We start from the raw sequence: 10,260 nt of genomic DNA, 5'->3' as shown, positions 1-10,260 counted from the left end.
GAGCCAAGATAGCGCCACTGCACTCCAGCCTGGGCGACAGAGGGAGACTCTGCCTCAAAAAACAAACAAACAAAAAACAAACAACATGCTGGTCATTGATACCTTCCATCGACATTCTTTGAATGAATGAATACTAATTTACAGTTGCCTTTGGGAACTGCGTGTTTAAGTGCTTGTGGCTAGAAACCACAGGCTGAAAGTGGCAAAGTTTGAGGGTGTGTTACCTGCATTCAAGGTTCTGTTTTCCTTTCCTTGGGACCCATATCCTATATCCAATTATACCCATTAAAACTATACACACTTGCATCTGTCCAAGCATTCTTTCCTTAGAAGAGTGTTCGGACTCAAGCATTCACGTAACTCATTTTTATTGGGACCCTAATGTGCTGGTGCCGTTGAGAATCTCTGAATAATGTTGTGATATACCCAACGAATGACTTGTATCCAGAATACAGAAAGAACATCTGCATAGTCATAAGAAAAAGGCACGCAACCCAGTAGAAAAGTGGGTAAAAGATTTGACCAGGTAATTCACAAAAAAGGATACACAAATAACTGAATAAATATGCAACAAGGTACTGAACTTCTTTAGCCATCAGAAAAATGCAAATGAAAACCACAATGAGGTATCACTACCCAATCACCAGAGTGGCTTTAGGGAAAAAAAAAAAAAAAAAAAAGGCCAGGCGTGGTGGTTCATGCCTATAATCCCAGAACTCTGGGGAGGCCGAGGTTGGGAGGATCACTTGAGCCTGGAGTTCAAGAGCAGCCTGGGCAACATAGCAAGATCCTATTTCTATAAAAAAATTTAAAAATAAAAATTAGGTGGGCATAATGACACACGGCTGTAGTCCCAGATACTTTGGGAGGCTGAGGTGGGAGAATTGCTTGAGTCTAGGAGGTTGAGGCTGTAGGGAGCTGTGGTCATGCCACTGCACTCCAGCCTGGGTGACAGAGCAAGATCCTGTCTCAAAAAAAAAAAAAAAAAAAAAAAAAAAAAGACAAAAAATACCTAGTATTGGCAAGAATGTTGAGCAACTGGAACTCTCTCACCCTGCTGGAGGGAATACATAGGACGACAACCACTTTAGAAAACTGCCCGGGCGTGGTGGCTCATGCCTGTAATTCCCAACGCTTTGGAAGGCCAAGGAGGGTGGATCGCTTGAGGTCAGGAGTTCAAGACCAGCCTGGGAAACATGGTGAAACCCTGTCTCTACTAAAAATACAAAATTAGCTGGGCATGGTGGCACATGCCTGTAGTCCTAGCTACTTGGGAGGCTGAGGCAGGAGAATTGCTTGAACCTGGGAGGCGGAAGTTGCAGTGAGCTGAGATTGCGCCACTGCACCCAGCCTGGGCGATAGAGCAAGACTGCGTCTTGGAAAAAAAAAAAAAAAAGACTGCTTGATAACCATGAAAGCTGAATAACGTAAGCTGTTGTAGGTTGTGTTCCCAGGCAGCTGATCCTGAGATGGAGATTAGCATGCAGGAAGTTGATTAGGGATATCAATCATATTGGATTAGAGGGAGAAAAAAGAAAGAAAGTTGACTAGGGAGTGCTCTCATGATCAACACCTGCAGGAAAGGGAGGGAAGCAGGGTTGGTGGGGGAGAAGCTGGGTTGGTATGTAGCCTCTGCAAAAGCCTCCTCTGATCCCTGAAGAACTTTGAATCCAGGGTGACCCTTCAAAGCTATTCCAGGTATCATTGGGGGAGGGGGCCTTTATATCCCCCACCCTTACATATCAACCAGTCATTGAATGACACAGGTCGTTCCTAGGAGGCATGTGTGACCTTGGCCAAATAAGTTCTTTTCAGCTGAGACTAGTTTGCACAGAGCCCTGGCAGCTGGGACTGCCAGCCAGGGGTCCTCCCAGCAGCTAAGGGAATAGGTCCTTTCGTTCTGAAAGAGTTGGGGATACATCACAGCAGCCACTATACATGCATACCCTATAACCCAGAAATTCTATTCCTATATATGTGCAAGAGAAATATGCACATACCTTATCCCAAAGACATGTACAAGAAAGTTCATAGCCACAGTATTCATAAGCGCCCACACTGGAAACAACACAAATGTCCATCAACAGTTGACGAAGAATATGTGGCATGTTCATGTAATGGAATGTTATATAGTACAAATACAATGATCTACTGTCATGGGCTTGGGCTAAAAAAAAAAAGTTGAGTGAAAGATGCCAGACACAAAGAGTAAATACCTGTATTTGTCTCTTATTGCTTCTGTAACAAATGACCCCAAATTTAATGGGCTTGAAACAACACAAATTTATTATTTTATAATTCTGTAGAAGTCTGACAAGGATCACTGGCTAAAGTCAAAGCATTGGTAGAAGCTGTGTTCCTTCTGGAGGTTCCAGGGGAGTATCTGTTTCCTTGTCTTTTGCACCTTCTAGAGGCCACCCCATAGTCCTTGGCTCATGGCCTCTTTGTCAATCTTCAAAGTCAGCAACAGAAGGTGGAGTCTTTTTCACATCCCATCACTCTTACCTTTTCCACCTCCCTCTTATAAAGGACTCTTCTGCTTAAACTGGGCACACTGAATAATACAGCATAATCTCCCTGTCTCAATGTCTTTAACTAAATCACATCTGCAAAGTCCCTTATGTTGGGCAAGGTAACATATTCAGAGATTCTGGGGGTTAGGATGTGGATATCTTTAGTGGTTATGATTCTATCACAGCACTGCATGATTCCATTTTATATAAAGTTCATGGCCAGGTGCAGTGGCTCACGCCTGTAATCCCAGCACTTTGGGAGGCCGAGGCAGGCAGATCACGAGGTCAGGAGATCGAGACCATTCTGGCTAACACGGTGAAACCCCGACTCTACTAAAAAAATAAAAAATAAATTAGCTGGGCGTGGTGGCAGGCACCTGTAGTCCCAGCTACTCAGGAGGCTGAGGCAGGCGAATGGCGTGAACTGGGTAGGTGGAGCTTGCAGTGAGCCGAGATTGCGCCACTGCACTCCAGTCTGGGTGACAGAGCGAGACTCTGTCTCAAAAAATAAAAATAAAAATAAAGTTCATGTGTCTGGAATCCCAGCTACTCGGAAGGGTGAGGCAAGAGGATCACTAGAGGCCATGAGTTTGAGACGAGCCTGGGCATCACAGCCACCCTCTGTCTCTATAAAATATAAATAATAATAAAGTTAAAAACTGGCAAAATGAATCAAGATAGTGTTTGGCTTTGGGAAGGCATGTGGAGAATTCTAAGTGGCTGGGAATCTTTTTCTAAAATTTTTTAAACTTATTTTTGAGATGGGATCCCAGGCTGGGGTGTAGTGTCATAATCATAGTTCACTGTAACCTCAAAGTCCTGGGCTCAAGTGATCCTCCTGCTTTAGCCTCCTAAATGGCTGGGACTGCAGGCTTGTGCCACCACACCCAGCTGATCTTTTTTCTTTTTTTTTTTTTACGATTGTGGTGAAACACACATAAGATTTACCATTTACCATTTTTGAGTGTACAGTTTAGTGGTATTCAATACATTTATAACGTACAACTATCACCACCATCCATCTCCGTAGCTATTTTCATCTTGTAAAACTGAAACTCTGTACCATTAAACACTAACTCCCATTCAGGAGAATTCTATCTCCTGAGCTGGGTGCTGGTTACACAGGTGTGTTCACTTTGTGAAAATTCACCCAACTGTACACTTAAGATGTGTGCACTATTCTGAAGATATATTATACTTTGATAAAATAGTTTATTTACTAAAGAAGAAGCCAGGCACAGTGGGTCACGCCTGTAATCCTAGCACTTTGGGAGGCCGAGGCGGGCGGATCACTTGAGCTCAGGAGTTCTAGATCAGCCTTGCCAACACGGCGAAACCCCATCTCTACCAAAAATACAAAAATTAGACAGACATGGTGGTGCACGCCTGTAATCCCACCTACTCAGGAGGCTGAGGCAGGAGAATCATTTGAACCCGGGAGGCAGAGGTTGCAGTGAGCTGAGATGGCCCCACTGCACTCCAGCCTGGGCAACAGAGTGAGACTCTGTCTCTAAAATAAAATAAAATAGCATAACATAACATAACATAACATAACATAACATAACATAACATAACATAACATAACATAAAATAAATAGAAGAAAAACACCCTATGACTGGCCTAAACTCTTCCGTGAGGAGGAAAATCAGGTCTGCCTTCAAGGAGGAAATTCTTCAGCCTCCATGAGCTACAGGTCAACAAGCCCCGGATCCATTTCCAGCCTTTTCCTGTGATGTAGTCAAGCAGGGTAGAGAGCCGACCCAGGGGTGGCAAGTACAGACCACCTGACCTGACCTTGGTAACCCAGGACCTGGCACCTCACCTGAGTGTCAGGAAACCTATTTCGTGGTGTTCCTTGCCGCGGGCATCAAAACACGGCGCTGATGGCAAAGATTCCCCGGTGGGCTCGATGTCCACCAAGCCTTGGGCACTGTGAAGCCCTGGAGTCTTGTGACCCCGGCGGCCGAGAGCACTTCCCTGCGTGCAGCCCAGGCTCCCAGAGCTCCCTAGCACCTCCAGCCCAGGTTCTGGATGGGGGAACGGGGCACAGGCAGGGGACCCCGGGAGCGCCCGGCCACCGCGCGAAGATGGCCAGGCCCTCCCAGCGAGCGCCGCTTAGGCGCGGGGCGGGGCTGAGGACGCCGATGCGACAGCCGATGGCACCGTCGCTGCTGCTCACCCCCAGCCTGCATCCCCTACCTCCGCGCGCAGCCCGGCTCGGCCCAGCCCACAGGAAGTGACGGCTCGCGGGCTGCGCTGGCGGCAGAGGGACCGCACCGCCCCCAACCGCACAGCGGCGTTGCGGGAGGCGAAGGGCGTCGACCGACCTCGCGCGCTGCACATCTCGGGTTGAGGTTAAAGGATAGGGCGACATCTGGAAACCTTCCTCGAGTCCCCACACCCCTGCAAGCGGCGCCTCCCTCCCTGTCCCCGGACATGTTCGCTCCAGCGCTGGGCGCACACTGTACTGAATGATCTCGCCCCATCTGTCCCCTCCACCAGTCTGAGGTCAGCGCCTGGCGGGGTAAGGCGCTCAGGACATTGGAGTGAGGTCATCTGCTGCCCATCCCCCTCTCCCCCATGCACCGTCTGAGTTTGTTCCAGACAATCGTGTGCTCTGAAGGGTACATTATTTCAGATTCTCAAGGTTCTTGCGGTCGGGAAATGCCTCCATATGTCTACCTCAAATCTCTGCAGTGTGAACCCTCCAGGCCTGTCATCAGTGGGGTGACCTTTAGGAGACTTGTGCTGATGATATCCAACCTTACTCCTCTGATACCTCCTGGGCTGGTTGGGAGGGTGCGATGAGTTCATACACGCCAGCGCTTAGATCAGCGCTGGGGTCTGCCGAGCACGGTCAGTGACTATTAGGGCCTTATTATCGGTTTTCACCTGGAGGAACTATTCCTTGCCCCTCACTACCCCATCTCTGGCAGGGCTCCTAAGGCAGGCTGGGGATGCCAGTGCAGGGACTTTACCTTTCTGGCTGGGGAGGCAGGTGGAGCCTGCAGTCAAGGCTCAGCCTTGGGAGAAGAGACCTGGGGAGAAGCCCCAGGTGCATTTGCCCGCTGAGGGCTGCCTGGGCTCCCCCGCCTCTAGCACAGCCGCGTCACAGCATGGAGGCTCTCTGCGTGGGACCCTTCTGCTTCCCGGCAGACTGAGAACTCCTTGAGGGCAGGGACTCTGGCTGGCACATGGCAGGTCTCCCAATGAATGAAGAAATGTTCTAAGCCATTTTTCTTGGCCTTCCTTCTTCGGCCTTCTTCCCAATGACCCCCTAACTCCACAATTCACAGCGTTCCTTATCCCTTTGCCCCAGGTCAGATCCACCTGCCCTGCCTGAAAAACTCCTAAAACTAATCAAAGATGAATCTGCCAGGCGCGGTGGCTCACGCCTGTATTCCCAACATTTGGAGAGGCCAAGGAAGGTGGATCACGAGGTCAGGAGTTCGAGATCAGCCGGGCCAACATGGTGAAATCCCATCTCTACTAAAAATACAAAAATTAGCTGGGCATGGTGGCGAGCACTTGTAATCCCACCTACCAGGGAGGTTGAGGCAGGACAATCGCTTGAACCCAGGAAGCAGAGGTTGCAGTGAGCCGAGATTGTGCCATTGCACTCCAGCCTGGGCGACAGACTCCATCTCAAAAAAAAAAAAAAAAAAAAAAAAAAAGATAAATCTGAGAAAGAGTTGGCCAAAATGTGTCATTCCTATTGACTAAAGTGGGTGATCAACTGGCTCCTCCTCCTGTAATCACCCAAGCTGGAAGCCCAGGAGTTATTGTCATTCATTTGTCCAATAAATATTTATGATGTGTTAGACATGGTGCTGAGTGCTGAGGATACAGAGAACAAAACGGACTCAGTCCTTGCTCACGGGAAGCTTGAATTTCAGTAGAAGAGACAGATGTCAAACAATTAAAAAGACAAAAATAGGCTGGACACGATGGCCCATGCCTGTAATCCCAGCACTTTGGGAGGCCGAGGCGGGCAGATCACGAGGTCAGGAGATCCAGACCATCCTGGCTAACACGGTGAAACCCCGTCTCTACTAAAAATACAAAAAAAATTAGCCGGGCATGGTGGCGGGCGCCTGTAGTCCCAGCTACTCGGGAAGCTGAGGCAGGAGAATGGTGTGAACCCGGGAGGCGGAGCTTGCAGTGAGCCGAGATGGCGCCACTGGACTCCAGCCTGGGCGACAGAGCGAGACTCTGTCTCAAAAAAAAAAAAAAAAGCAAAAATATTTACAATAGTGTTAAGAACATGGGGGACTGAAGTAACAATGGTGGAGCTGGGAAATCTCTCAGGGAAAGAGACTTTTTTTTTTTTTTTTCGAGGCAGAGTCTCACTCTGTCACCAAGGCTGGAGTGCAGTGACACGATCTTGGCTCACTGCAAGCTCCGCATCCCAGGTTCAAGTGATTCTCCTGCCTCAGCCTCCTAAGTAGCTGAATGATCTCGCCCCAACCCGAGTAGCTGGGATTACAGGCACCTGCCACCGCAACCGGCTAATTTTTGTATTTTTAGTTGAGATGGGTTTCACCATCTTGGCCAGGCTGGTCTTGAACTCCTGACCTCGTGATCCAACCCCCACCCCCCTCGGGCTCCCAAAGTGCTGGGATTACAGGCGTGGGCCACTGCGCCCGGCCGGAAAGAGACTTTTAAGATAAGACCCTGGAGGACGAAAAGGGGACAGTCACATGAGGAGTGGGAGGAGGGATGTCCCAGGCAGAAGGAACAAACTATACAAAGATCCTGGGCAGAAAGACTTAGAGTGGTTGAGAAAAATGAAGGAAGACCCACGTGGGTGGAACCCAGGGACTGAAGGGAGGAGAAGCAGGCTCAGACTTTGCGGGGCCTTGGAGGTTGCTCCTGACGCAGTGCTCAGAGGAGTCTTCATGGGGGAGTGATGTGAGCTCCATGTTCAAATTACTTGGGCTGTTCTGCAGAGAGTAGGTGGGAGAGGGGATGAGTGGAGGCTGCTACAGGTGGGAGGTTATGGGACCCTGGCAAAGGTGAGGGCGGGGGAGATGAAGGGCCGTAGGATGATACAATATATATGTTTGATGGATAACACCATAGGACTTGGTGATGAATTGGTTGGGGTTGGTGGGGGGTTGGTAGCAGGAAGAGAGGCACCAAGGGTGACATGGGCCAGGCGTGGTGGCTCATGCCTGTAATACCAGAACTTTGGGAGGCTGAGGCACGCGGCAGATCACTTGAGGTCAGTAGTTCGAGACCAGCCTGGCCAACATGGCGAAACCTCGTCTTTGCTAAAAATACAAAAATTAGCGGGGTGTGGTGGTGCACACCTGTAGTCCCAGCTATTCGGGAGGCTGAGGCAGGAGAATCACTTGAACCCAGGAGGCGGAGGTTGCAGTGAGCTGAGATCGCGCCGCTGCGCTCCAGCTTGGGTGACAAGAGCAGAACTCCATCTCAAAAAATAAATAAAAATAAAAATAAAAATAAAAATAAAATATGGTACCAAATTCTCTGACACTCTTTCCATGGAGAGGTGGGGTAGAGGTCCTCTCCCTTGGAATCTGGTGACCTTGTGACTATTTTGACCAATAGAGTGTGGTGAAAGTGACTTTCTATGTTACTTCCCTCCCAGACTGGATGCTGAACAGATATGCAACTTCCCCCTTGTTCTCTTGAACACCCTCTTTCCTTTTCTTTCTCTCTCTCTCTTTTTTTTTTTTTCTTGAGACAGGGTCTCGCTCTGTCACCCAGGCTGAGTGCAGTGGTGAGATCATAGCTCATTGCATTCTCAACCTCTCAGGCTCAAGCGATCCTCCTGCCTCAGCCTTCTGAGTAGCTGAGACTACAGGTAATTGCCACCACACCTGGCTAGTATTTTTTTCTTATTTTTTATAGAAATGGAGTCTTGTTATGTTGCCCAGGCTGGTCTCGAACTCCTGGGCTCAAGCGATCCTCCGGCCTTGGCCTTCCAAAGTGCTGGGATCACAGGTGTGAGCCACTGTGTCCACTTCCTATTTTCATATGCATCTTTTGGGTGTTCCCTCACAGAGCCCAGTGTCCTTGCTGAGAGAGGCCCAAGCCACATGGAGAGGTCACACGTTGGTGTGTCTGTCTTCAGCCCCAGCTGAACCCAGTCTTTGGGTCCTGCCAGCTCAGGCATCAGATGTATGAGTAAAGCCACCTGGTAATTTCAGCCCCCCAGCTGTTCCAAGTTAACCCCAGCACCAGCCATTCTGGTCTTCTCAGCTGAGACCGCAGACATTGTGAAGCACAGACCAGCCACCGCAGCTGAGTCCTGTCTGAATTCCTGACCCATGGAATTTGTGAACATAATAAAATGGTTATAGTTTTACACCAAGTTTGGTGGAAAGGTTGTTATGCAGCAATGGTACCTAGAACACATATGAGATAGAAAACCAAGTTCCAAGACTCCACCTTGTCAATACCACCTGCCTGCTTCCTCTCCATCTATCTGTGACTGCTTTGGTTGAGCCCTCATCAGCTCTCACCTCCCAGCTGGATTCCCCATGTTCAGGTCATTTCTCTCTCCTGCTGCAGCCAGGATGGCTTCATTAAGATCTAATGACATCTCATGACATCACTCCCCTGCTTCTCAGGCTCTTTGTTGCTCATGGAATAAGATTAATGCCTTTTATCAGGATGTATGCAGCCCTTTATGGTCTGCTCCTGGTCCACTTCAAGCGTATCTCCTGTCTCTCTACATTTCACTCAAATCAGGTGTCTGTCTTCCTCCCTCCCTCCTCTCTCTTTTTTTGATTTTTAAAAATATTATAATAGTCTGGGCGCGGTGGCTTACGCCTGTAATCCCAGCACTTTGGGAGGCCGAGGCGGGCGGATCACAAGGTCAGGAGATCGAGACCATCCTGGCTAACATGGTGAAACCCTGTTTCTACTAAAAAAAATACAAAAAATTAGCCGGGTGTGGTGGTGGGCGCCTGTAGTCCCAGCTACTCGGGAGGCTGAGGCAGAAGAATGGCATAAACTCGGGAGGCAGAGCTTGCAGTGAGCCAGGACAGCACCACTGCACTCCAGCCTGGGCGACAGAGAGAGACTCTGTCTCACACACACACAAAAAATTATAATAGAGGCCGGGGGTGGTGGCTCATGCCTATAATCCCATCTCTTTGGGAGGCCAAGGTGGGTGGATCACCTGAGGTCAGGAGTTGGAGACCAGCCTGGCCAGCAAGGTGAAACCCCATCTCTACTAAAAATACAAAAATTAGCCTGTTGTGGTGGCGCGTATCTGTAATCCCAGCTACTCAGGAGGTTGAGGCTGGAGAATCACTTGAACCTGGGAGGCAGAGGTTGCAGTGGGCCAAGATCACGCCACTGCACTCCAGCCTGGGTGACAGAGAGAGACTCTATCTCAAAATAAAAAATTAAATAAATAAATAAAATAAAAATATTATTATTTTTATATGCCCAGCTAAATTTTTGTATTTTTAGTAGAGACAGGGTTTCACCATGTTGGCCAGGCTGGTCTCAAACTTGGGACCTCAGGTGATCCACCTGCCTCAGCCTCCCAAAGTGCTGGGATTACAGGCGTGACCCACTGCTCTTGGCCTCAGTAAGTGTTTGTTGGATGATTGACGGTTGAACTCAGAAAAAGGGTGCCAGGGAGGGCCATGACAGCCATAGACCTGCGAGTCTTCCTTTTATGGTGGGCATAAAGGAGAACAGGACATGGTTTCTATATGCAGACATCACAGTGAAGAACCTACCAGGGAACCCTCAAATTGATCA

At 49.0% G+C, this 10,260-nt stretch overlaps 1 long non-coding RNA gene across 1 annotated transcript, besides 2 other annotated features; it reads right to left on the bottom strand.

Annotated features, from left to right (window-relative positions):
- Positions 1 to 2,263: 2,263 nt before the first annotated feature.
- LOC124904058 (uncharacterized) lies at positions 2,264 to 4,719 on the bottom strand. Its single transcript, XR_007065906.1, has 2 exons — positions 4,337 to 4,719; positions 2,264 to 2,846 (listed from the first exon to the last, which is right to left on the bottom strand). It is a non-coding gene; the product is annotated as an uncharacterized LOC124904058 (long non-coding RNA).
- Positions 4,162 to 5,111: an enhancer, noted in NCBI's record as "H3K27ac-H3K4me1 hESC enhancer chr17:72978097-72979046 (GRCh37/hg19 assembly coordinates)". NCBI's record gives its function as "activates a minimal SCP1, AML or CMV promoter by ChIP-STARR-seq in naive H9 embryonic stem cells {active_cell/tissue: H9 hESC(naive)}" and the evidence as "EXISTENCE:reporter gene assay evidence [ECO:0000049][PMID:30033119]".
- Positions 4,500 to 4,549: a silencer, noted in NCBI's record as "silent region_8948". NCBI's record gives its function as "represses an Ori minimal core promoter by ATAC-STARR-seq in GM12878 lymphoblastoid cells {active_cell/tissue: GM12878}" and the evidence as "EXISTENCE:reporter gene assay evidence [ECO:0000049][PMID:35858748]".

Source organism: Homo sapiens, chromosome 17, assembly GCF_000001405.40.
Source record: "Homo sapiens chromosome 17, GRCh38.p14 Primary Assembly".
NCBI classification, from domain to species: domain Eukaryota; kingdom Metazoa; phylum Chordata; class Mammalia; order Primates; family Hominidae; genus Homo; species Homo sapiens.
Note: the sequence above shows the minus strand (reverse complement) of the source record. Positions and strands in the feature narration are given on the sequence as shown.